General features: G+C 41.8%; 1 protein-coding gene and 1 long non-coding RNA gene across 5 annotated transcripts in view, besides 1 other annotated feature; one reads left to right on the top strand and one right to left on the bottom strand.

Moving 5' to 3' along the window:
* LINC01389 (long intergenic non-protein coding RNA 1389) overlaps window positions 1-15,217 on the top strand; it is a 56,522-nt gene extending 41,305 nt beyond the window's left edge. The window contains exons 4-5 of the long non-coding RNA NR_126355.1: window positions 9,657-9,765; window positions 14,870-15,217. This is a non-coding gene — a long non-coding RNA (long intergenic non-protein coding RNA 1389). The remainder of the gene's footprint in view (window positions 1-9,656; window positions 9,766-14,869) is intronic.
* Window positions 7,762-8,056: a silencer, noted in NCBI's record as "tiled region #7712; HepG2 Repressive non-DNase unmatched - State 7:EnhWF". NCBI's record gives its function as "represses a minimal TATA promoter and a strong SV40 promoter by Sharpr-MPRA in HepG2 cells {active_cell/tissue: HepG2}" and the evidence as "EXISTENCE:reporter gene assay evidence [ECO:0000049][PMID:27701403]".
* A 1,956-nt stretch (window positions 15,218-17,173) lies between the features above and the next one.
* The window catches only part of CMPK1 (cytidine/uridine monophosphate kinase 1), a 45,050-nt gene continuing 34,579 nt past the window's right edge, over window positions 17,174-27,644 (bottom strand). For 2 of the 4 annotated variants that reach the window (NM_016308.3, NM_001366135.1), the window contains exons 2-6: window positions 27,398-27,544; window positions 22,906-23,058; window positions 21,028-21,104; window positions 20,720-20,816; window positions 17,174-19,309 (exon numbers count right to left, since the gene is read on the bottom strand). In NM_016308.3, the coding sequence (NP_057392.1) occupies window positions 19,268-19,309; window positions 20,720-20,816; window positions 21,028-21,104; window positions 22,906-23,058; window positions 27,398-27,544 (516 nt within the window). In that variant the 3' untranslated portion in view covers window positions 17,174-19,267. The remainder of the gene's footprint in view (window positions 19,310-20,719; window positions 20,817-21,027; window positions 21,105-22,905; window positions 23,059-27,397; window positions 27,545-27,644) is intronic. The other 2 variants (NR_046394.2, NM_001136140.2) reach the window with 2 other exon arrangements.

Genomic DNA, 27,644 nt, shown 5'->3' with positions numbered 1-27,644 from the left:
ACCCTATCTCAAAAAAAAAAAAAGAAAAAAAAAGCAAATGGAGGAGGGATGGTAACTGATGCAGCAGGGCAGAGAAAGCCTCAGTAGAGTGTGTGCAGAGAGGATGATACAGGCCAGGAAGGAGGCAGCACCTGGGCAGAACCAGCAAGACAGAGCTTAAAGAGGGGATTGATTGGAAGTCTGTACATTGGACAGTCTCTCCCCACCCCTGTGCACAAAGCACTGGGAAAGCTGGCATCTATGCTCCAGGTGGGAGATCAGGGGGTTTTTGGAGAAATCTAATGTCCCCAGAAGACATGCTCTGGCATTGGGGCGGGAGTGGAGAGAGGAAGTCCTCTGCTCTAGTGATTGACTGACTGGTTGCCACTGGCAACCTAAGACATACCAGCTAGTCAATGGGCTTTTTATTTCTTCATTCCTAAATATGAATGGACAATCAAAGATAACCACACATTTGAGGAAAGCCTCCAAACTCAGAGAAAGATGAACAAATAAAATGGCCTCAGGGGAAATAGGAATAACGCAAGAAACAAAAAAGAACGAAAAAATAGTTTTTTATACTCTATTTATACCTTCCCAGGGATTCAAGGGGGCATTGGATGCATCAAATACAACTGGATGGTATGAGGAAAAAAGAAACAGAGACCCAGAGAGAGCTCTTGAAAATTCAAGAAATATATATGCTTTTAAATTTAATAGAATTGTTGGCCGGGCACGGTGGCTCTTGCCTGTAATCCTGGCACTCTGGGAGGCCAAAGCGGGCGGATCACCTGAGGTCAGGAGTTCAAGACTAGCCTGGCCAACATAGTGAAACCCCATCTCTACTAAAAATACAAAAATTAGCCAGGTGTGGTGGCACACGCCTGTAATCCCAGCTACTCAGGAGGCTGAGGCAGGAGAATCACTTGAACCCAGGAGGCGGAGGTTGCAGTGAGCTGAGATTGTGCCACTGTACTCCAGCCTAGGTGACAGAGCAAGACTCCATCTCAAAACAAACAAAAAATTTTAATAGACTTTTAAAATTAAGGAAATTTCTCAGAGTGAAATAAAAATATAAGGAGGTAGAAAACATAAGACATAAAGAATCAATCCAAGAAATAAAAAATCCAACAAATGGGAATTCCTGCAAAAACAAATAAAAATGGAAAAGATGAATTATTTAAAGTTACAATAAAACATTTCTCATAAAGTTCAAAATTTTCCATATTGAAAGAGCTATGTACCCAGAAAATGAATGAAAAAATTATCTACACTCAGGTACAGCATCCTAACATTTTTGAACACAGGGATAAAGAGATCTAAAGCTTTCAGATGGGAGCAAAATGAAAATAAAGAAAAAAAGGTCAAAAAGGAATGAGAATCAGAATGACTTCAGAATTCTCAGCAATACTAGATGCTAGAGGACAATGGAGAAATGCTTCAACTGCTCAGAGAACTGAACTTTCCATCTAGAATTCTATATAGGCTGAACTATCACTTTTAAGGATATAATAAAGACATATGGAGATACATAGGAGTCAGAATACCTTCATCATCTGCACTGTTCCTTAGGTAGTTACCTGGAGAGTGTGCCCCAGAAAAACAAGGAAATACACCATTAAAGAGGACTTTCAAAGAGACTGGACTTCATGCAGAAAGCCGTGAAAGGAAGTCAGACGACAGATGTCCAGCAGGCTTGCACACTAGCAGACCACACTGAAGTAGGATAATAGAGGGCCTTGAAAGGAAGTCTCTGGGGAAAGGAGGAGACCAGGTGAAAGAGAGACTAGATAAATATTAGGGAAGGATAAAGGCAGTTAGAAACTGAGGAAAAGAAAAGGTGTGGCTGGGAGTGGTGGCTCACACCTGTAATCCCAGCACTTTGGGAGGCCACGGCGGGCGGATCACCTGAGGTCAGGAGATCGAGACCAGCCTGGGCAACATGGTAAAACCCTGTCTCTACTAAAAATACAAAAATTAGCCAGGTGTGGTGGCGTGCACCTGTAATCCCAGCTACTCGGGAGGCTGAGACAGGAGAATCGCTTGAACTTGGGAATCAGACGTTGTAGTGAGCCAAGATCGCGCCACTGCACTCCAGCCTGGGCGACAGAGTGAGACCCTGTCTCAAAAAAAAAAAAAAAAGAGGGAGTCCATATGTGTTACCATTGTGCAAAAAGCAAAGGAGCTATGCTGCTCTGCCTATGGAGTAGCCTTTCTTTTGTTTCTTTACTTTCTTAATAAACTTGCTTTCACTTTACTCTATGGATTCATCCCAAATTCTTGCTTGTGCAAGATCCAAGAACCTTCTCTGGGGGTCTGGATTGGGACCGCTTTCTGGTAACATCTTCCTGGCAAACCATGAAGGGACTATACTGAAGAGACCCCCAATTCAAAGGAAAATTGTCTATCAGCACCAATTGTCTGACTTTGGGACACAGTTGGAGATGCTGGTTATTTTACCAAGGCTTTGACTGGAATGGCATGGTTTCAAATATAAACACACTGCTTTAAGGAATCAAAGTTGACTTATAGAGCAATTAAAGCCCCTCAGGAGAGCTGGCCTCATACCTTGTCTACACAGTCACAGTACAGGATTCCTAACATGTCAGATTGCCACTGCCTTCCTCCTCTGTAACTAAAGACCCTGTACTCGACAGATCAGCTGGCCCTACCCAGAATGATAAACTAGCTCATCTGGTCTTGTGGCTTCTGCCCAGAAACTGACTCATGGCAAGAGGACAGCTTCGACTCCCTAGATTTTATATCCAACCGGATCAATCAGCACTCCCCACTTTCCGACCACCTGCCCATCATTTTATCCTTAAAAACCGCAGTCCCCAAGTTTTGGGGGAGACTGGTTTGAGTAATAATAAAACTCTGGTCTCCTGTTAAAAAAAAAAAAGGAAGGAAGGAGAGAGAGAAAGAAAGAAAAGAAGAAAAAGAAAGAAAGAAAGGAGAAAGAAGCTATGTATATATGTATAGAATATGCTTATTTTATGCATTGAGTACCTAGGGGAAAAATATACAGGAAACCTGGCATTGCTTTTTTGAGGGGGGCTTGTGGACAGAGATAATGGGGGTTGGATGAAGACATAATTTTCACTGTTTGAAATCTTTACCATTTATTCTGCCTACATTAAGAAAAAAAAGGCAAGAGAAGCATAATAAATATATAGAGGCAAGTCTTAGAAGAAACGGCTGAGTCTGAAGTCTTTTACGTCATAGAAGGTGTCAGGGAGATGGAGGCTGTTGCTTTTTAACCACGATATGCATTACTTTGATGAGACTATTTTAAAAATTGTTTTTATTGTGCTAAAATAAACGTAACACAAAATTCACCATTTAACTTTTTTTTTTCCGAGACGAAGTCTTGCTCTGTTGCCCAGGCTGGAGTGCAATGGCACCATTTCAGCTCCCTACAATCTCACCCTCCCAGGTTCAAGTGATCCTCCTGCCTCACCCTCCCAAGTAGCTGGGATTACAAGCATGTGCCACCACACCTGGATAATTTTTGTATTTTTAGTAGAGACGGGGTTTCACCATGTTGACCAGGTTGGTCTTGAACTCCTGACACCAAGTGATCCACCCACCTTGGCCTCCCAAAGTGTTGGTATTACAGGCGTGAGCCACCACACCCAGCCCATTTAACCATTTTTAATTGTACAATTCAATGGCATTAAGTACCTTCATGTTGTTATGCAAGCGTTACCACCATTCATCTCCAGAACCTTTTTCATCTTCCCAAACTGAAACTCCAGACCCATTAAACAATACTCCCATTCCCCAATCCTCCCAGCCCCTGGCAACCACCATTCTGCTTTCTGTCTCTATGAATCTGATTACTCATATATTTGGAATCATACAGTATTTGTATTTTTGTGACTGGCTTAGCTTATTTTATGTAGCATAATGTCTTCAAGGTTCATCTGTGTTGTAGCATGTGTCAGAATCAGCCTTTTTGTGGACGAGTCATATTCAGATGAAACTATTTTTTAAATAGAGGAATAGGAGGAGGAGGAAAAAAGGAGGATGTAGGTAGATAATAAGAGATGGCCTAGGTCAGGCAAATGATGTGCTGTTTGCCCGGCATATTAGTTTTCTATTGCTGCATAACAAATTACCACAAAGAGCAGCTTAAAGCAATCCCGTTTATTACCTCACAGTCCTCTGGTTCATATATCTGGGCAGTGCAACTGACTGGGATCTCTGCTCACAGTATTACAACGTCTGAATCAAGATGTCAGTGGGGGCTGGGCGCAGTGGCTCACATCTGTAATCCCAGGACTTTGGGAGGCCGAGGCTGGCGGATCACTTGAGGTCAGGAGTTCAAGACCAGCCTGGCCAACATGGTGAAACCCTGTCTCTACTAAAAGTACAAAAATGAGGCAAGCATGGTGGCGTGCACCTGTAATCCCAGCTACTCGGGAGGCTGAGGCAGGAGAATCGCCTGAACCCGGGAGGGGGAGGTTGCAGTGAGCCGAGATCGTGCCAGTGCACTCCAGCCTGGGTGACAGAGCGAGACTCCGTCTAAAAAAAAAAAAAAAAGATGTCAGCAGGGCTGGGCTGTCATCTAGAAGTTCTTTCAGCCTCATTCACACTGTTGGCAGAATGTTCCTTCCAGCTGTGGAACCGAGGTCCTCATTTCCTTGCTGTCGGCCAGGGGTGAGGGGAGCTCCTAGAAGCCATTCTCCCTTCCTTGCACATGCCCCCACTACCTTCAAAGCCAGTAACGGCAGGTCAAGTACTTCTCATGCCTTGATTCTCACTTCCTTCTCTCTTACCAGCCAGAGAAAACTCACTTTTAATGAACCCATGGGATTTGATTGGGCCCACCCAGTTAATCTACCTTTTGCCACATAGCATAACATAACCTTACAGGTTCAACACACACTCAAAGGGGAGGGCACTGTACAAGGGTGAGGGTCACCGGGGACATCATAGAACTCTGCCTGCCCCAATGACCTTCACCCTTGGATAATTAGCTCTTCTGTGGAATGTGTTACATTACATGGCAAGAATTTTGCAGAAGCAATTAAGGTTACTAACCAGTTGACTTAAGATAGGGAGATTAACCAGGTAGGCCTAAGATAATCACGTGAGCCCTTTAAAAGCAGAATTTTGTCCAGCTGGTGACAGAAAAGAAGTCAGTAGTTCAAAGCATGAGGAGGGCTCTATCTTGAAAGTGGAGAGTGCACGTGGAAGGGACCCTAGAGCAGCCTCTAGTACCAAGGCCACCCCATGGCCAGCAGTGACCATGGTAATGAGGACTTGCTAGGAAATGGATTCTGCCAACAATGTGAATGAGCTTGGAAGTGATTCTTTCCCAGGGCCTCTGAATGAGAGCCAGGCCCAGCTGAAGCCTTGATTTCAGACTTGTGATACTGTGGGCAGAAAACCCAGTCAAGCCTGCACAGACTTCTGACCTACAGAACTGTGAGGTAATAAAATGGATGGTGGTTTTTTTTGTTTGTTTGTTTGTTTTGAGACAGTCTTGCTCTGTCGCCCAGGCTGGAGTGCAGTGCCACGACCTCGGCTCACTGCAACCTCCACCTCCTTGGTTCAAGCGATTCTCCTCCCTCAGCCTCCCAAGTAGCTGGGACTACAGACACGTGCCACCGTGCCCAGCTAATTTTTTTGTATTTTTAGCAGAGACGGGATTTCACCATGTTAGCCAGGATGGTCTCACTCTCCTGACCTTGTGATTCACCTGCCTCAGCCTCCCAACGTGCTGGGATAACAGGCGTGAGCCACCGCACCCAGGGATGGATGTTGTTTTAAGTCACTAAGTTAATGGTGATTTATTATGTAGCAAAAGAAAATTAATACACCTGGCTGTCCCCCTACCCATCTGCTCCCAAAACTCTTATTTTGTTTATGTTCCAAGAGGTGTTTTAGACTAGACTGCAGACAGGCAGACCTGGATTCGAGCTTGCCCTCTATAAGGATTTGCAGTCATGAGCACAGTAAACATTCACTAAACAGCAGCTGTAATGATAGTTTTTATACTCATACTCCCTCTGTAATTGATCCCAATTCCCTGCCCCACTTCTCTGGAAAGTTTGCACACCCTCCCCTGCACTTTGCACTTATTCTCCTACTGCATTATCAGACGTTGCTTCAGCCCCTGTCATGATGAAAGAGCTCTGAGAATGTGGAAGAACACAGTGGAACTTTCTGGAAGTCTGAAGTATCCAGTGAAGAGGGCTGCTCAGGGAGGGGTGAGTTATCTGTTGCTAGGGTAGCTACCTGTCAGGGATGCTGGAAGGGGTTGACTTCATGACATCTTGAGTCTGCCTCTAGCTTGTGTTTTCAAGCTGGCATTTTGTGGGGGGGGCGGCGTGGTGGGGGGAATTTTTTTTTTTTTTTCAGATAGTCTCTCTCTGTTGCCCAGGCTGGAGTGCAGTGGTGCGATCTCAGCTCACTGCAACCTCCACCTCCCAGGTTCAAGAGATTCTCCTTCCTCAGCCTCCCAAGTAACTGGGATTACAGGCGTGAGCCACTGCACCCAGCCTGGCACTTGTTTTATTGAAATATATATACACACACACACACACACATAAGCCAGGAGGCAGGTGCTAGAAGGTGAGAGACCTCTCCAGCTGGGGTTAATGGGGAAGGCAGAGTCAGGTATTAGAGTGAGGCATTAATTCATTCACTGAATTACTTGAACATGTATTCTTGACTCTGGCAGTCTTGCACTGGGAGATTCTGACATAGACTGAAAAATAGGTGAGATTTTGACAGCTTCTCCTGTGGAAAAAGTTCCAGGTAGAAGTCACATCATGATCAAGACCTGACAGATCCAGTTCTCCATGGAGCAGCCACAGGACAAGCAGGGAGTGCTGAAGCATGCGTTCTGCTAGGAGGGAGGAGGGATGGGACTTGTGGTTGTTTTGGTGGTGTGGGACAGGGAAAGGATGAGAATGAGCACAGTGGATCCTGGAAGGTTGGGGCTGGGATCAAGGAGTCTCCTAGTTCTGTGCAGGGATCCAGAACAGGGAGATGCAGGCTTGTGGGTACAGAAACAATTGACCAGCTGGCAGAAGCCATGAAAGGTGGATGCAGGATGGATCCTGGGCGCCTCTTGGTGGCCATACTGATAACTACACCTGGTAACACCCGGACAGCCAGTGCCCAGCTGATGGACTGCTTCACTTAACTCTGCACTGGGAGGACACCCACACCTACCCCGGACTATCTCTCATTGCAGTAAGAATGATTTGTGTAAATGCATCTGTGCCTGAGGCTGTGTGTCTTGTTGCCCAAATGCGTTGGTGTATACTTGTGTATGAGTGTATGCACGTTCATTTGTGTGTCTGAGAATGTGTATTGGTGCTGGTGACTGCGCACATGTGCAAGTTGTGCATGCATGTATGTACTAGGTGCTAGCATGTAAGTATGCATTTGCATGCACTAATGCCAAAACATGCATCTGTATGTGTGTATGTTTGTGCAGATGTGATCTCTTGTGTGCTTGTGTCTGAGTGCATGTGTGGTAATTTAAGTGTATGGGGCTTGGCTTTCTGTTACACATTGAAATAGTTAAGCTCCATAATCTTATTGTTTGTTTAAAGTTTGCTCTTGGATGCAGGCCTGTTCCAGAATAACTAGCAGATGCGAAAAGCATCCATTATGTATTTTTGCAATTAGCCGAAAACCCAGAAACTTTTCTTAAATGACAGACACAATTCTGTGGGTTGCTTATTGCTGGGAGCCACCTCCTCTCCCGGCTCGTCTAGTGCCCAGCCCCAACCCTGGCCAAGCCAGAGAGGGTTTGCCAACTGTCCCTAGTGAGATGGAAAAACCATTCAGGGTTTCAGAATACAGCTCAAGGGACAGCTTACAGTGAAGAGGAGGAGGAGGAAAACGGAGCAGCCTCCTAAATCTAAAAAGCCCTTGTCAAACTGACTCATGCAGCCCAGCTTCCTAGTCTGGACTCAGCTAAACAGACACTGGATAAAATTCACCTTCCTTTACCTGTTATGAAAGGTTTATCGCTTTATCTTTGCATACTCCTATCTCCCATTATTTGGTGCATGGACCCTCACCCCCTCCAGCTAAGTGGGTCTCTCCTGTCCCTCACTGCTATCTTTTTGCTACTGCTGTTTCTCTCTTTTCCAATGCAAACTGGGCACCTCCTGCCCACCAACAGCATTAATGCCAGTAAACTTTGTTAAGCACTTATCCCAGGCACTGGGGAGGACACCCAGGGAGGGGGTGGGAGGCAGAAACAGAGGCTTAGGGAAACTTCTCAGCATTTGGGTTCTTATGGTAAGGCACAGATCCTCATGATGCCCCTTAGCCTTTCCTCCCCACTTGTATATACAGGGAACTCTTATGTGTCAGAGAGTATGTCTGGAATTCCAGGTGGACTTCAGACTTAGATACCTACTTGAAGAAGATGATCCCCAAACCACAGAATCTCCAGAGTGAAAGACTAAAGCATTCTGCCAAATAAGCATCCAGGGCCTGCGTGCACACTTCCAGGGACGGTGATCATGTCCTCAGGCGCTCCAATTCAGTGTTGGGTGGCTCTGACCTTAGACGGTCTTCCTTATGTTGTTTCCACTGCCCTAGTTCTGCCCTCAAGCCCACATTGAATACATGTACTCCATCTCCCTTCAGAGGATTGTAGACAGTGGTGGTAGTCCCCTGGCCTCTCCTCACCATTTTGTTTTTGGTTTTGATATGGAGTCTCACTCTGTCACCAGGCTGGAGTACAGTGGTGTAATCTTGGCTCACTGCAGCTTCCACCTCCTGGGTTCAAGCAATTCTCCTGCCTCAGCCTCCTAAGTAGCTGGGACTACAAGCACTAGTCACCATGCCTGGTTAATGTTTTGTATTTTTAGTAGAGACGGGGTTTCACCATGTTGGCCAGGTTGGTCTGGAACACCTGACCTCAAGTGATCCACCTGCCTCGGCCTCCCAAAGTGCTGGGATTACAGATATGAGCCACCGTGCCCAGCCTCTCCTCACCTTTTAAGACAGTGGCAGCTGCTAAGTAAGATTATAGAAAGCCCACTATGCCAAGCTGCCATCCATGTGACAACTCCCTTAGTGGGAGAGCATTTGTGATACTGTTGCATGCAGTACTTCCCTCTCACTCTGTGAGCTCAGGAATGGCAGCAGACTAAGCAGCTGTTTAATTTGTGAGCTTTCACTATGGTTTGTCACCAACTGTCAATTCATCAACACTAAGTACCTACTCTGTGCTAGACACTGTGGATAAAAAGACCAAGACTTTTTTTTTTTCAACTTTTATTTTAAATTCAGGGAATACATGTGCAGGTCTCTTAATGGTTATATTGCATGATGCTGAGGTATGGGGTACAATTGATCTTGTCACCCAGGTAGTGAGCATAATTCCCAATAGGTAGTTTTTCCTTGCCTCTCACTCTTTTGCAGCCCCCAGTGTCTATTGTTCCCATCTTTGTGTCCATGCGTACCCAATGCTTAGCTCCCACTTTTAAGTGAGAACATATATTTACTTTTGTTCCTGTATTAATTCGCTTAGGATAATGGCCTCCAGCTTTATCCATGTTGCTGCAAAGGGCATACTTTTGGGTTTTCTTTATGGCTGCATAGTATTCCAGGGTGTATATGTACCACATTTTCTTTATCCAGTCCACCGCTGAAGGGCACCTGACTTGATTCCATGTCTTTGCTATTGTGTATAGTGCTGCGATGAACTTATGAGTGAATGCATCAAAAAGACCAAGTTGAACTTATGAGCGAATGCATCAAAAAGACCAAGACTTGATCCCTTGCCCACAAAGATACAAGGCTGTGAGTTTTCATTATCTGCTCTGATCACTTTGTTTACTGTGGTGGTTCTCAAAGTATCAATATCAGTATCACTTTACACATAAAAGAAATGCAGGGCTGGGAGCGTGGCTCACGCCTATAATCCCAGCACTTTGGGAGGCCGAGGCAGGCGGATCATGAGGTCAAGAGATCGAGACCATCCTGGCCAACATGGTGAAGCCCGTCTCTACTAAAAATACAAAAATTAGCTGGGCGTGGGGCCACATGCCTGTAGTCGCAGCTACTCGGGAGGCTGAGGCAGGAGAATCGCTCGAACCCGGGAGGCAGAGGTTGCAGTGAGCCAAGATCGCGCCACTGCACTCCAGCCTGGCAACAGAGCGAGACTCTGGCTCTAAATAAATAAATAAATAAATAAGAGGCCAGGCGCGGTGGTTCATGCCTTCAATCCCAGCACTTTGGGAGGCAAAGGCAGGGGGATCACTTGAAGTCAGGAGTTCGAGACCAGCCTGGCCAACATGGTGAAACCCCACCTCTACTAAAAATACAAAAATTATCCAGGTGTGGTGGCATGTGCCTGTAGTCCCAGCTACTTGGGAGGCTGAGGCAGAATCACTTAAACCTGGGAGGCAGAGGTTGCAGTGAACCAAGACTGCACCACTGTACTCCAGCCCGAATGACAGAGTGAGACTCTGTCTCAAAAATAAAATAAAATAAAATAAAAGTAATTAAATTAGAATTTCTGGGGGCAGGGCCTGAGGCATTGGTTCTTGTTTTAAATATGGTTAAAAAGACATTCAACAAATGCTCAGCATACTGAATGAAATCCTGCTACATAGTAACATAGTGGTTCTGGAGTATCACAGGATACTACTTTGCTTTTCCAAGTGTTTGTTAGGAATGACTGAGGTAAATGCATGTTAGTGGCCGGGCACGGTGGCTCAGTGGCTCACACCTGTAATCCCAACATTTTGGGAGGCCAAGGCAGGCAGATCACTTGAGGTCAGGAGTTCGAGACCAGTCTGGGCAACATGTCTCTATAAAGTTTTTTTAAAAATTAGGTGGGCGTGGTGGTACATGCATGTGGTCCCAGCTACTCGGAAAGCTGAGGTGGGAGGGTCGTTTGAGCCTGATCAAGGGCAGAGGTTGCAGTTGGGCAACAGAGCCAGACCCTGTCCTTTTTAAAAAAAAAAAAAAAAAAAAAAAACATGTTGGTGTTGAGGAGTAAGAGCTGGGAGAAAGGAGAACTGGGTTCTAGGCCTAGTTCTGCTCCTAACTGTCTGGAGGGCTTTGAAGAGGACACTTTCCTTCTTTCAATATACAAACATTTATTTATCTACTCTGTGTCAGGCTATTAAGACAATAGAGAAATCCAACTAAGACCTCTGAAATCTCTTTCCCATTCAAAGACTCCATTGATTAAGAACCACAACACACAGCTATAGAGGAGAAGGCAGGCTAAAAGCATCTAACTTTATTCTTTTTGAATTTAATAAATAGATACTAAAGTGCTTAGGATGTACTATAATCTTATAAGGCTTCAAGTAGAAATTTATATTAAGTCGTTTCAAATCTGTGGCGTGAACAAAAACTGTCAAAAGCCTTCAGAAAGCAGAGATTTCCCATGTCCTAACATATAGTGAAACAGAGGTACAATAGGTAAAACAAATCTATCAACATAGATTGAACTATGGATGAGTGGGTGAGATTTTTCGCCCAAACATTGTTTTCTTATCCCTTTCTTTTTTTTTCTCCAAGATAGTCACATTGTAAGTCTTTTCATGAGTTGTGTACTGAAAACAGAGGGAAGCTGATGGGGTCCCAGTACTTTACGATTATCAGCTCCCAATCTTCAGGGGGAACGAAAATAGAATCCTAAGAGGTCACAAGCAGACTCTACTGGGATCCAAAATTCAGTGATATAACTTGTAGCTACAGCTACTGCCAAAAATATTTTTCCATTTCAGTTTATTTTTTCAACAAATATTGAGTGCCTACTATGTGCAGGCACTGGTCTAGGTATTGGAAAACAGGAATAAACAAGGTAAGTGCTCTTCTGGCACTTAAAATCTAGAGGGGAAATCAACAATAAGTAAAAGTAACTTCACATGGTGATATATGCACTGAGAAAATAAACAAGGGTAATAGACTAGTGATGGGAAGCACGGGGGGTATATTAGAGGTCACATTGCCTTATTACAGATAGGCAGCAGGGGCTACTGGACAGGAGGCAGATCTTTTTTTTTTTTTTGATACAGAGTCTCCATCTCAGGTAGGAGTGCAGTGGCGCAATCTTGGCTCACTGCAACCTCCACCTCCCAGGTTCAACCAATTCTCCTGCCTCAGCCTCCCAAGTAGCTAAGATTACAGGCGCACGCCACCATGCCCAGCTAATTTTTCTATTTTTAGTAGAGATGGGGTTTCACCATGTTGGCCAGGCTGGTCTCAAACTCCTGACCTCAGGTGATCTGCTCTCTTCAGCCTCCCAAAGTGCTGGGATTACAGGCATGAGACACCGCACCCAACCTGGGAGGCAGATCTTTAAGGCCCAGAGGTCTGGGTTCTAGTTCCAAACCCACCACTCTCTAGCATAAAGATTGTGGCAATTGACTTGAACTCTTTGGGCCTCAGTTTAATCATCCTTGAAACAGGAAAATCACCATTCCAACCTGCCTCAGAATTGCTGGGAAAAGAAAACAAAATCACAGAGGTAAAAAAGTTTGCCAGCAATGAAAGCACTACACAGAAACACAATCAGCTAAGAAACCACTGGATTTGAGCTTATCTAGTAAGCCTGTTGAGGGTAGTGGTTGTACATTAACTGACTGTTGTATCCGCAATGTCTCAAACATATTTTGAATGAATGGCCAGCCAAATTTTGTAATGTGATTATTTTGGTGCTATTGTCATCCCTTGGTCCAGTGACAGTCACGTGGCCTAAGGCAGATGTGGACTACCTGCAACAAATCTGATTCCAGTCACAGGGGTCAGCATCTCTGAAAATTGGCTTGCTAGTGACCAGTTAGCTAAATTAAAATGACAGACCCTTGCATGAATGTGATTACAGACTGTGGTAATACCTCCTATGTGTACCTAGCTATTATTTCACCAACTAGCCATAATCTGTGTCATATAAAACAATGATTTGGCTGCTGACTATAAACAGCTACTTTCTTAAGTCAAATACATAAACAAAACTCAGAAATAGCCACAAAATTACTGAAACCACAAGTTAAAGATAAATGAAGATAGATGGTGTTAAGGAAATCACATTCCTTAATCCCATTTTCATCAACAAAATACTCGTGGAGAGAAGTGCGAGTGTGGCCTGTGAACCTGAAGACTTTTGAACAGATTAAGACACAGTGTTTTGTGGGAGTGATTATTGATAGAATAAAAAAGTTCCAGCAAGAACCATCATGTCCCCTGTGGCTGGTGGCTGAGCTGTGTGTCTCCTCCTCTGCTGCTACCATTTAAAAAAAAAAAAAAAGAAAAGAAAAGAAAAGAACAATAAAAAAGAAACATCACGTATAAAGTAGAACTAGATGGAACAAAATCCTGCTTCTCTATACAAATGGTTTTACTCTCATCCCATCACATCCCCTGCATTTCAGAATTTCCATTTGCACACAGTAGCAGCAGTGCAAGTCCAGGAGTTATCTTCTTTCCCCAGACAGCACTTATCCAGACCTAAGTAAAGGCCTTAAACAGAGAAAGGAAGGAAGGAATATAGATACAGTCTCTGCTCAATCATCTTTGATACTGAATATGACATAGACATTCTGACAGTTATTTTGGAACCAGGGGGATTTTGATGTAGCTGTTTCAACTTGTTCATTTTAATGTTTAAAGACTAATAAAAAATTAGTCTTTATTTATTTATTTATTTAGAGGCGGAGTCTTGATCTGTCGCCCAAGCTGGAGTGCAGTGGCATGATCTCGGCTCACTGCAACCTCCACCTCCCAGGCTCAAGTGATTCTCCTGCCTCAGCCTCCTGAGTAGCTGGGACTACAGGTGCACGCCACCATGCCCGGCTAATTTTATGTATTTTTAGTAGAGACGGGGTTTCACCATGTTGGCCAGGCTGGTCTCAAACTCCTGACCTCAAGTGATCTGCGGGCCTCAGCCTCCCAAAGTGCTGGGATTACAGGCGTGAGCCACCACACCCAGCCCCTAAAAAATGAGTCTTTATACTTCAGCATTTTCCCCTCCAAATCATGTAAATAATGTATCATTTGACTATTATCCCAGCTGAGGATAGAACAATGGTAGTGCTTATTGTGCACCTGGTTAATTAAAAAGAAAACAGTGTGACATTTTGTCAAGGACGTTTTGATGCAGTCTCTTCACAATCATACCTACTAGACTGGCCAAGTGTTGGCAGCTGTTTTGGAGCCATTTGTGAAAATCCTTCTTGATAAAACTAATAAACAACTTAGGTTTAGCCATGCACACAGCTTTGTCCTTTTAAGTACCAACTAATGAACCTATTCATTGTCTTTCCCTCCTGGAAGTTCTTGGAGCCAAGCAGCTATAAGAAGGCCAGTTCAACCCACAGTCCTCAAAGGGCTGCAAAGTCTTAGACATTAGCAAGGAAACTTACTCAGTTCAGGGTTTTTCTTGGAAGCTCATCTTGAGACTACATATCATTTTTTTTTTCTAATGTCATAGAAATAGCTACTGAGAGTACATATCTTCCAGAAAGCCTTCAAAATAGTAGTGTAAGAACATACCCAAAGCTCACATTCATGGCTTTTTTAAAATCTTACTTTCTCTTTTAATATGTGGTTCTTCAATTAAAGGAGGATGCATATGTGGTATGCTGCTTAACTGCTTGATTTCATTGTGTGGAAGGCAATTCTTAGAGTGTATCTGTGCTTTTCTAACATTAGGGCTGGGATGTGGGAAAGTATCTGGTAACCTGTCTCTGCAGATCTTTTACTTTGGATGGTGTGAAAGGCCAGTGTTCACAAGTCGCATACAGTTACTTCGAAATGTATCATAAATAAAAAATTATATTCTGTAGCTGAAAGAACCTCACCTAGAGAAATGTTCTGATGTATTACCCATGTCTCCCTAAATAAGACAAAATAATTAAAACCTCTTCTCTTACCCTCTTTATTTCAGGAGGACAAAGCCATGAAGGAAAAGCCTCACTGAAGAAGAGGAACCTAAGAGAAGCAGGTTCTGCTCTGATGAACTCCCATAAAGGCATTCCCATAAAGGTGTGGGCCTGAGTGATAATCTAGATATGGTACAGTTGACATCAGGTATATGGCGGCAGCCAGAAATTCAACTTTGTCCATCAGCTCTCTGCACAACAGGAAAGATGGTGACCTTCCAGGCTTATCTGAGGTCCAAGAGTAACATCACAAACACAGTAACTACACCCAGCCAAAGAAAAGCATACCTGAATCCAAGAGAGTATTTACACTGGCTTCAGGGATGAGGAAATAAAGGAGTAAGTGATTAGGATCATTGTTTTCCTTTCTCTTTGGTACAAAATAAATGAGCTTCCTTTCTTTCATTAAAAATAAATGTTTAGGCCGGGCGCGGTGGCTCACGCCTGTAATCCCAGCACTTTGGGAAGCCGAGGCGGACGGATCACGAGGTCAGGAGATCGAGACCATCCTGGCTAACACGGTGAAACCCTGACTCTACTAAAAATACAAAAAATTAGCCGGGCGTGGTGGCGGGCGCCTGTAGTCCCAGCTAGTCGGGGGGCTGAGGCAGGAGAATGGCGTGAACCCGGGAGGCGGAGGTTGCAATGAGCCGAAATCGCGCCACTGCCCTCCAGCCTGGGCGACAGAGCGAGACTCCGTCTCAAAAAAAATAAAAAATAAGAAATAAATAAATGTGTATAATTAACGAATACTTAATTTAGCTGAAGTATGCAGGTGGGCTAGGGAGAACTGAAATAGAAAACATAAGAATGATTAAAGTTAACCAACAGAAGACACTGGAAGGTCGGTCTATATCAGAATGTTTTCGGAAAAAAAAAAAAAAAAAAAAAAAAAAAACACCTCCTGGAAGGCAGAAAATATATTTTTTTGTTTTGTTTTTTTTGTTTGTTTGAGACGGAGTCTCGCTCTGTCGCCCAGGCTGGTGTGCAGTGGCGCAGTCTCAGCTCACTGCAAGCTCCGCCCACGGGTTCACGCCATTCTCCTGCCTCAGCCTCCTGAGTAGCTGGGACTACAGGCGCCCACCACCATGCCCAGCTACTTTTTTGTAATTTTAGTAGAGACAGGGTTTCACCATGTTGGTCAGGCTGGTCTCAAACTCCTGACCTCATGATCCACCCGCCTCGGCCTCCCAAAGTGCTGGGGATTACAGGCATGAGCCACCGCGCCCGGCCAGAAAAAGTGTTTGTAGCACTATTTGCTTGTGCAATTAGTATGTGTTTGAAGATGACAACCAAACCTCCGGGGAGAAGATGCTGACCTCATCTGGCCAGTACTTTCAGCCACTATTATCTCCAGGGACCACTGGAATGTTTGTGAACCACTTAAATTACAAGAGTAAAGCCAAAAGTCCACAAAAAGCCCACATCCTGATATACATTGCTTACTGTCATCTTCCCCCAAAAGAGATAAGTGATTGATGCTGCTGGTAGGTAATGAAATAGACTGCTTTTGTCTCAGTGGAGATTACTTCTTGAAGGAACGGGATAAAATCATGCTTTCTGCTTAAGCCAAAACACAAAAACAGGATGAAAAATTTTCCTCAATCCTGTAAAGCAAAAATAAAATTCTAAGCGCCCCCACAACCATCTGAATGGACCCTTCCTCTAGGCCAAGGGCATTCCAGAGTTCATCTGAAAAACCAGTTTCAGGCCATCATGGGGAAGGGAGAGCCAGACATGCCTCATTATACTTCTCCTCCCTTTTGAAATTACTGATAGAACACACTCTTAATAAGAAGCATTTACAGTCTATTTTCTCTGAAGCCTGCTACCTGAAGGCTTCATCTGCATGATAAAACCTTGGTCTCCAACAAACCTTGTATCAACCTAGACGTTCCTTTCTATTTATAGTAACTCTTTCAACCAATTGCCAATCAGAAAATCTTTAAATCTGCCTAAGGCTTGGAAGCTTTCCCCACACCTGCTTCCAGTTGTCCCACCTTTCTGGACTGAACCATGTATACATCTTACATGTATTGTCTGATGTCTCATGTCTCCCTAAAATGTATAAAAACAAGCTGCACACCGACCACTGTATGCACTTGTTCTCAGGATCTCCTAAGGGCTGTGTCACAAGCCACTCATCACTCATATTTGGCTTAGAATAAATCTCTTCAAATATTTTACAGAGTTTGACTCTTTGCATCGACAGTCCTGAACTCTGCTTTTGTAGTGTGAGGACCCACATGTTAAATAGGATACTTCTTGATCTTCAATATGCTTAGAGAACAGAAATCTAAACCAACAAATAGCAAAGGCCACAGCACAAAATTTATTGAGATTATTTACTAAATAACTGATATACATCCAACATCACTGAATGGAAATAATTTAAAAATAAGCAAGGCTTAAATTGGGGTCTTTCAAAAAACTCAAAACATTCTTGGTGACTGTATCTTTAACAAATGGAATGACAAAACTAGTTAAGTCATATTATCTCAATCAACTCCAAAACTCAATGTTGCCAACATGTTTTTCTACTTAAAAGCAAACAAAAAGCAAAGCCTCATAATTTAGTAATTACCATGTTTCTTGGTTTCTGTTCTCAAATGCCACAGAAAGATACCTGATGAAAGGAAGCAAAGCACCTAGTCTCATCAGTCTTCTTCAAAACTTTAAGGTTGCTTTCACAATCTCACTATAAATATTTAGATTCCTATCTGACAGATTTCTTCACTTATGTGAGTAGGAATGCTCTCGAAACCTTAGTCTTTACTCTTGCTTCATACTAGAGCTGTTTGATTAAACCACCTCTGTATTTGCTGGCCTGCAACACTAGATAAGAACTCATTCCTATCTCTTCCAAGAAACCAAGATAATCTCAATATGAATTTTAGTGGCCAATATGTTATAGTACTTAGCAATACTTTGTTTTCTAATGGCAAGTATGTTGAAAAATTTATCATTAAGTGAATTTCATAACACATAGAAATAAATGATTCTATTAAAATATAAAAACATCCATTAACTTGTCCTATTTCCAGTGACTTTAAATATCAAATCTATTATACAAAGACAAAATTATTTGCCCTATTTGACCCTGTGTACCAAATGATGTAAGTGCTGAAAATAAGAAACATTTTAAGATTTTAAATCTCATATTAAGAACCTCGGATACCACTTAGCATTGTGACAGAAGAAAAAAAAGTAAGGCGAAAACAAATTCCTCAGAGATTTTTAAAGGAAGAATTGGTGTAAAAGAATATTCCTTTGGACTCTATAGCCTTTTAAAAATCATTTATCTTTCGGTGCTTCAACATGATGCCAAACAAAAATCTACTGAATAAAAATAGCAAGGAAGGGAATCAAACATTTATAAGATATATTTATTATTTTTCTGACCAAAGTGCAATGATTTTTAAATCTTTTTAAACAAATAACTATGAAAAAAGTATTCAAGAAAATAAAATACAAATGGGAAATTTAACTAGATTGCTTCTTCTAATTAATCCTAAGCTTTTATTAAGTCTAGAAAACAAACAAAAAAAAACCTTTGAAGTGTTACTAAAATGCTAACTGAGAATCATTTTAGCATAAATCTAGCCACATGCATTTCAAGGTTCCACTGCTACGAATTTTGTTAAGATCAGCTGAATCATGAATAACACTATATAATAGAGTATAAGGAACACAAGCATTAGATGTGATCCTTGCCCCATACCCTTAGATTATGTCAGACTAAAGCTGACAATTCTGCCAGGCTCTGAACCCCTAGTGCCCCCAACCCAAATCTTGGAAGCAAAGAATATGCCCTGTCATACAACTTTGTACAAGTTGTAGTAAAACAAAGCTTAAGTTTTCTCATCTTTCTACAGCAAATGGTCAGTTATTTAATAAACACTAAAATGCTCCTAAGAATCCATTTTGAGTTTGTTTACCAAACACATTGTGCAAGAACTGACTACACAAAAAGTTCCTTTGAAATTTGGTCCACAAATTCACTTAAGGTTGGAAATTTAAAACTTGCAAGAAAAAGAGGAAGCGGGTATCCCTAAATCCTAAAATGTTGTGATTACTAGAGGGATATATACGCGTACTAAAAAGTTTTGCTCACAGAAGGCACAAACTATAAAAGGGATATTCTTTTTGAATTTTAAAAAAAATAGCTGATACCCTTCGTTTGGTGAGCACCATAACTAAGGTGAAGTTAAACCTGAATTCACTGTCTACTCCTGTGACCAAAAAAAAGAACATAAAAAAATTTACTTTGTTTTACCATGTACTTTCCAGCCACTAATTGAGATGTAGTTATGAAAGATTAGAATTGCCTTAAAAAGGGGTCATGATAGCAGCTATCAAAGCAATATTCAAGCATGATTTCAAGGATGCCTTCAGGTTTAGAATTAGCCTTCCTTGTCAAAAATCTGCACAACTTCATCAAAAACCTGTAAAGGAAAAAGATGATAATAATTTTAAAAGCAGGTACTGTTAAAATACCATACAGCTAAGTTCTTATTAAAAATAATCAAATTTGGCGGGGCGCGGTGGCTCACATCTGTAATCCCAGCACTTTGGGAGGTCGAGGCGGGCAGATCACTTGAGTTCAGGAGTTCAAGACCAGCCTGGCCAACATGGCAAAACCCCGTCTCTACTAAAAATACAAAAATCAGCCAGGCGTGGTGGCGGGCACCTGTAATCCCAGCTACCCAGGAGGCTGAGGCAGGAGAATTACTTGAACCCAGGAGACGGAGGTTGCAGTGAGCTGAGATCACACCATTGCACTCCAGCCTGGGCAACAGAGTGAGACACTGTCTCAAAAAATATATATAAATAAAATAATATAAAAAATAAAGACTCCATCTCCAAACAGGGTCACACACAAAAAAATCAAATTTACATTAATTTTCAAAATGAATCATTTTTTTGAATCACATACTTAGTTTCATCTATTTTACTTTAGACAGTAATATTATATAAATAATACATATAAAATTATGACTATATTACATTCGATTAGTGCTTTTAGGACAAAATATTCTTGAGAGGCTACCAATAATTTGATAAAATATAAACTGTAAATAAAATGTAAAATAAAATATAAAATATAACTGAAGTGGCTTATCTTCTTAGTTCTGATTCTAAAACACAGTTTTCTCATGTATTACCTCACCTCTATACAAAGTGTCAATGGATTAAAAAAAGATTCCCTGAATCTTCTTCCCCTGGGCCTTTCTTTTTTATCTTATGACTATAAGAGGATGAAGATTCAGGGAATCGGGGAAAGGGAGGTTAGGTTCCTTAAGAGACACTAGAAATTTTGTTGCGCTTGCAAACCACAATTTAGAGATCGCTATTTATGAAAAAGAAAGAGAAGTGATAAGTCATGGAAACCTTCACCTGTGGTGCTACTTGTTCTGTGGCAGAAGAAAGAAGCCTGGAGCTCTTGAGCTAGATGACTTGCCATTCATGTGATCCAACTCACATTTCTTAAAATACCAGTTTTCTAGTGCTTGGGAGCAAATTTAGAATTCATAAACCACCCATTTCTCATGAAGAACAAGTTTGAAGTTATAAACCTCATTTTAGGTTTTACTCAGAAAGGAAAAAAACCCTAATTTTTCATTTAGTCCCCAGTGTCTTCTTTTTTTTTTAAGAGACAGAGTCCCAGTATGTTGCCCAGGCTGGTCTTGAACACTTGTGCTGGGATTACAAGCATGAGCCACCATGACTGGCTTCCAGTGTCTTGAAAAACTAACTAATCTGTGATAGTATTTCTTTTTTTCCTGCTTACCCCAAAACAAATAATCACATTTTTATTTGACATATTTTTTTAAAGACAGGCTAGGAACACTTACTTCATCAACAGATTTAGAAGCATCTATTTTCTTGACTTTCCCCATTTCTTCATATAAGTCAATAATTGGCTTTGTTGACTGAAGGTAGGTCTGAATTCTGCAAAAGAAGTAAATATTGCAAGGTTCTAGGTATCTATCCTTTCTTCTACATGTTATAGGAGAGCTCACAGAACACTGGATCTGCCCCGACTGATTGACCTAACATCTTAAACAAGCCATTTTACATGTTTAAATGTGACTCTTTTATTCCTGTACCAAATAAGGCAGGTCTGGGATTGAAGTGGTTGTATGTAAAAACTGCCAAGTACCTCTTTTCCAAGCTCTCTCTGTTGTCATCACTCCTACCACTACTCTTTCCCCTCTCAAGACATCGTTCAATACAAATCTAAAAAGAGATACAAAGTTATTAAAAATATAGATATGAATTTGCCATTCTTTTAACCTGCAAAGAAAACAAGAGTTTAAAGAGATGACCAAAAAAACCCTGCAATAAACCCAATGTGTCTAATTCATTAATCAACATGCAAAGTCCTTTTAAACGTAAACATGTGGTTCAATTTATATAAACTAGGTTAAATAAGTACAGAGCATAATAAGAATTCATTCATGACTCAGTTTTTCCTGCTTATTTTTTTTCAAACTGTAATAAAAAGATCTGTATGTGTATGATTCCATCTCAGATATATTATTAACTTATTAGGTATGAATTACATGCCTCAAACTTTGTTTCATTTTTGGCTGCTTTTTGATAATTCCATAAATTTGAAAATATTTGAGTCAACATATTTGCATTTGAATAAAGCATCCTTTGTTAATTGTGAATAAACATTCCTTGTTATAAAGCTGTGGTAACATTCTAAAGTTAACTTTGAAGGGTAAATGAAAACATATTTTGGGGGGTTGGAAGAAGAGAGTTACGTTTTAAAACAATGCAAAAGGCCAGGCATGGTGGCTCAGGCCTGCAATTCCAACACTCTGGAAGGCTAAGGCGGGTGGATCACCTGAGGTCAGGAGTTCGAGACCAGCCTGGCCAACATGGCAAAACCCCGTCTCTACTAAAAATACAAAAATTAACTAGGCATGGTGCACATGCCTGTAATCCCAGCTACTTGGGAGGCTGAGGCAGGAGAACTGCTTGAACCTGGGAGGTTGCAGTGAGCTAAGATCGTGCCACTGTACTCCAGCCTGGGCAACAGAGTGAGACTCTGTCTCAAAAAAATAAAATAAAATAAAACAACACAAAGGCTGCAGCAAGATTCTCCACCAGGGGCACATTTACAATTCAACCTAAGAACAGCCAACTTCTTTCAAGGTACTAACTACTTCAGGCTTTTTAATTAAATGATTCTGAGAAATGTATTTAGTTATTCAAAAGTATGTCTGGCTTCATTATTAGAACTACCAGAAAGAAAAGTACATTTTTTTACTTTTTTCAAGATCATTTCACTCTTAAGACAAATCAGGCTATCCTGTATGTTTCTTTTTTTTTTTCTTTTTTTTGAGACAGTCTTGCTCTGTCGCCCAGGCTGGAGTGCAGTGGTGCCATCTTGGCTCACTGCAACCTCTGCCTCCCAGGTTCAAGCAATTCTCCTGCCTCAGCCTCCCAAGTAGCTGGGATTACAGGCATATGCCACCATGCCAGGCTAATTTTTGTATTTTTAGTAGAGAAGGGGTTTCACCATGTTGGCCAGGCCGGTCTTGAACTCCTGACATAAGGTGATCGCCCACCTTGGCTTCCCAAACTGCTAGGATTACAAGCGTGAGCCACCGCACCCAGCCCTGTATGTTTCTTTAAAACAGAAAGTTTTCCCAACTTCTCAGAAACGTGTTTCTCTTCCAGTAAACAACACCCTAAGGCAAAATACTCTTTGATAATAATGTCTACCTAAGAAAGTAGTTCAGCTTCATTACCTAATATTATTATGTATGTCAATTCTTATTTTTTAAAAATCAAAACTGATTCTTGTTATTTTGAAAATAAAGGAAAATTTAGCTCCACAAGGCTGCTAATGCCAAATAGTTTTTAATACTCCAACAGCAAGACAGTGCTGTTCCGTCCATCCAATCTACCAATTCAAAAAACACTGCTGCCAATATAAAATATAAGTTAAAAAATCCTTTGTTTTTTCTAATAGTTGACTAACAGTTGCTTAAAGCCTATGTGGGCAGATGAAGATTTTCATTACCTCATTATTACAGTCAAAAAAGAGAACGAAAGATACATCTGCCTTCCCATCCATGGTCTTGTTCCATCCTTGAAGGTTGTCTTGATTTCTTGGAAACCCATCAATCAAGAATTTATTCTTCTGAGCATTGGCAGCCATTGTCTGATCCATTTCCTAAAGGAAAAAGAAGATTTAGGTTCAATACAACATTAACAAAATGAAATTTCTCAAGCATGGTAGTGTATACATGGGTGTTTTATTATTATTATTTAAACCATAAGTAAAGGGTGGAGGGTACATAGCAAAAAAAAAAAAGAAAAGAAAAAAAGAAAGAAAGAAAAAAGACTAGAAGGAAATCTATCAATGTATTAAGATGGTTGCCTCAAGTTGGTGTGGTTATGGGTATATGCCCCTCTCAAAACCACCTCATTTTATACACACAATTTTTTTCTGTGGTTTCCAAATTTTCTACAGTTAAGTATATGTTACTTTCACATACACATTCACAAAGTTATAAATAAACAATAAGAGCGGCAATAAGAGGAAAATAACCATTAACCATTATCTTTGCTCCAGCAACTGGAGACCCTCTCTTTATTCCCTTTGCTCTTCCCAAGTCGTTTTGCTATAGTGGAAAGTATATTACTTCTACAGGTGCTCAACTCTGCTATTCATATAATTCAAGTCCAACAACACAAAGCTTTGGACAAATATAAAAGACCATTAGCATTAATTATTAATGTAGGATAAAATACTTTTTAACGGAAGCTAATTAAACCCAAATGTCACTGGCTGCCCCAAAACAAAGGCAACAAAAGAACCAGCCCGGCCAAGATGGTGAAACCCCGTCTCTACTAAAAATACAAAAATTAGCTGGGCGTGGTGGCTGGCACCTGTAATCCCAGCTACTGGGGAGGCTGAGGCAGAGAAATGCTTGAACCCAGGAGGTGGAGGTTTCAGTAAGCCGAGATCGTGCCACAGCACTCCAGCCTGGCGGACAGAGTGAGAGACTCTGTCTCAAAAAAAAAAAAAAATAGGAAAAAAGAGGATGTGAACTAAGGTGATGACAGAGAAGAGACTAACAGAAGAGGATTAAAAGAAAAATAACTGGAAAGATATGCTCACTGAATGGATTTGGGAAAGTGAGGAAGAGGCAGGAGAATATAGGATGATTCCCAGATTTATGCCTTGAGTAGCTAGGTAGATGGCAGAACCATTAACCAAGACAGGAAGTAAAGGAAGATCACATTTTAGACAATACACTCAGCCTCTGACATGTTGATTTTGAGACACTTGTGAGACATTCAAATAAAGGCCTAGTAGTTAGGTAGTTAAAAATATATGTCTGGAATTCAAAACAAACATTTTGTTTTAGAGCTATAGACTTTAGCAGCATGAGCATAGTGAAAGCTTTGGGTATGGCTAAAACCATCCAGAAAGAAACATATGAAATGAGAGCTGAATAAGACCAAGTATAAAACCCTGAGAAGCATCATGGTTTTGGAAACTTGCAAAAGAATAACTATTAAAGAGGATAGAGAAATAGCAGTCACTCAGTAGGGAGAGAAGAAAAAGAGACGCTGTCATAAAGAACAAAGGAGGAATGATTTTCAAACAGACTGATTAAAGTTAAATACTACAAGAAAAATAATGACAAAAGTATTATTTGATAGAGATCATCATTGGTAACATGCAAGAGCAGCTGCAATGGAGATGGAAACAGAATCTGACTGCAAAGGGTTGAAAAGTAGAGAGTGGAAAAGTAGAGAGTGAAAAAGTAAAAACCATATGCTCTTTCATAATACTTTCTCTGCTTTATAGAGCAGAGAAAGGACATTAGAAAGAGTGAATAGGGAGAGAGATTTGTTTATTTTGGAATGGAAGCAGGTTACTCCAACCTCTGAGACAAGAGGTAAGAATGTGTGTACAAGCCACTTTTCATCCCCAATGTCTTTAGTTCCAACCAGATGCTTACATAGCTCTTTTCCATCAGGCTTCAGCCATTTCTTGTTGTTCCCAATATTGCATTTCTTTTTCTCCCTCACTGTTCTTCTATGTGAAAATACCTGTTAATGATTATAGTTCTAGGAATCTAGAATGAAGAGTTACCTAGTAAATACAGGGTGTCTGTTTTTCAGATGTGACATTTATTTATTTATTTATTTATTTTTTGAGGCGGAATCTCACCCTGTTGCCCAGGCTGGAGTACAATGGTGCGATCCTGGCTCACTGCAACCTCCGCCTCTGCCTCCTTGGTTCAAGCAATTCTCCTGCCTCAGCCTCCCGAGCAGCTGGGATTACAGGTGCCTGCCACCACGGCCGACTAATTTTTTTTTTTTTTTTTTTGTATTTTTAGTAGAGATGGGGTTTCACCATGTTGGCCATGTTGGTCTTGAACTCCTGACCTCGTAATTCACCCACCTTGGCCTCTTAAAGTTCTGGGATTACAGGCGTGAGCCACCACACCCGGACATTTTTTTTTTTTTAAGAAACAGAGTTTCACTCTGTCACCCAACCTGGAGTGCAGTAGCATGATCTTGGCTCACCAAAACCTCTGCCTCCCAGGTTCATGCGATTCTTCTGCCTCAGCCTCCCAAGTAACTGGGATTACAGGTGTGTGCCACCACACTTGGCTAATTTTTTATATTTTTTGGTAGAGACGGGGTTTCACCATGTTGGCCAGACTGGTCTCGAACTCCTGACCTCAAGTGATCCCCCTGCCTCGGCCTCCCAAAGTGCTGGGATTACAGGCGTGAGCCACTGCGCCCAGCCTCAGATGTGACATATTTTAGTTTTAAAAGTTCTTAAGTCTTAGCATTTCACATTGAAGATGGTGATACACCAGAAAAGTAGACACCATGGCTGAGCGAACATCAATGATGAGAGGGACGTGGGTTAAAAAACAGAGAAAGGGCTGGGCATGGTGTCTCACGCCTGTAATCCCAGCACTTTGGGAGGCCCAAGCGGGTGGATCGTGAGGTCAGGAGATGGAGACCATCCTGGCTAACACGGTGAAACCCCGTCTCTACTAAAAAATACACAAAAAATTATCCAGGCTTGATGGCGGGCGCCTGTACTCCCAGCTACTCGGAAGGCTGAGACAGGAGAATGGCGTGAACCCAGGAGGCGGAGCTTGCAGTGAGCCGAGTTCACGCCACTGCACTCCAGCCTGGGCGACAGAGCGAAACTCCGTCTCCCCGCCAAAAAAAAAAAAAAAAAGAGAGAGAAAGAAGAAAGAAAGAGGTTTATTTAAAAAAAAAAAAATTGGGGGCCGGGCACGGTGGCTCACACCTCTAATCCCAGCACTTTGGGAGGCTGAGGCAGGCAGATCATGAGGTCAAGAGATCGAGACCATCATGGCCAACATGGTGAAACCCTATCTCTATTAAAAATACAAAAATTAGCTGGGCATGGTGGTGCACGCCTGTAGTCCCAGCTACTCGGGAGGCTGAGACAGGAGAATCTCTTGAACCCGGGAGGCAGAGGTTGCAGTGAGCCGAGATCGCGCCACTACACTCCAGCCTGGCGACAGAGCGAGACTCTATCTCAAAAAAAAAAGAAAGCAAGCAAAAAAGAAAAAAGGAAAGGGAGCAGGAGAGGGAGGAAAAAAGATGAAACAGAAATGGAAGAGAATAACTGTCTGAATGTTGGGAAGAAAGGACCAAGTGCACATAAATGGATGTTAAGTTGAGCTATAGGTGATCCTAAATCAAAGCAGAGAATCCTTGCCACTGTCCGCTTTCTTCCCAGGTGAAAGCAAAGTTTCCAGTTCTGCCATTCTCAAGCATAACCACCTTCCACAAGCAAGAAATTCAATACTCTGAGCTAGGTGTGGTGGCTCTCTCCTGTAATCCCAGCACTTTGGGAGGCCGAGGTGAGAGGATCACTTGAGCCCAGGAGTTCCAGCCTAGCCTACACAACATAGTGAGACCCTGTCTCCACAAAAAATAGAAAAAAATTAGCTAGGTGTGGTGGCATGCACCTGTAGTCCCAGCTATTCAGGAGGCTGAGGTGGGAAGATGGCTTAAGCCTGGAAGGTTGAGGCTGCAGCAAGCTGTGATCAGGACACTGCACACCAGCGTGGGTGACAAAGACACTGTCTCAAAACAAAACAAAACAAAAAATCTTTGATATTTTTCATTACACATATGAAAGGTGGATTTATTTTTATTATTATTGTTGTTTATTTATTTATTTTTGAGAGGAGGTCTCACTATGTTTCCCAGGCTGGACTTGAACTTCTGGGGTCAAGCAATCCTTCTGCCTCTGTCTCACAAGCAGCTGGGACTACAGGCATATGCCACCACGCATGGCTTTTTAAAAAATTTTTTTGTAGAGATGGGGTTTCACTAGGTTGTCCAGGCTGGTCTTGAATTCCTGGCCTCAAGTGATCCTCTTGCTTTGGCTTCCCAAAATGCTGGGATCACAAGCATGAGCAACTGCCTGGCCAAAAGGTGAATTTAATTTCTTCTTTCCTCGCTGGTTTGAACTGGTTGGCATTCACACTCCTTACCCTCTTTAATAAACTGATGGTTATCTCAACTGGTACAATCTTTCCTTCTTTAATGTACTTTTCAATAAGTTCACCATACTGTGAATCTGGGTTCTTCCTTTCATCACGAAGCAGCTCTCCTGCAGAAAGGTGTGTGTAGCCATATTTCTGAAAGAAGCACACATAGGAAAAATATCAGAATTCATTCAACCCAGTGGTAGGACTATACTTTTTTTCCTTTGTGTTAATTTCTATATTCTAATTTTTC

The sequence above is a fragment of the Homo sapiens genome, chromosome 1, assembly GCF_000001405.40.
Source record: "Homo sapiens chromosome 1, GRCh38.p14 Primary Assembly".
NCBI classification, from domain to species: domain Eukaryota; kingdom Metazoa; phylum Chordata; class Mammalia; order Primates; family Hominidae; genus Homo; species Homo sapiens.
The sequence above is the reverse complement of the archived record's forward strand: the minus strand, read 5'-3'. Positions and strand labels throughout refer to the sequence as shown.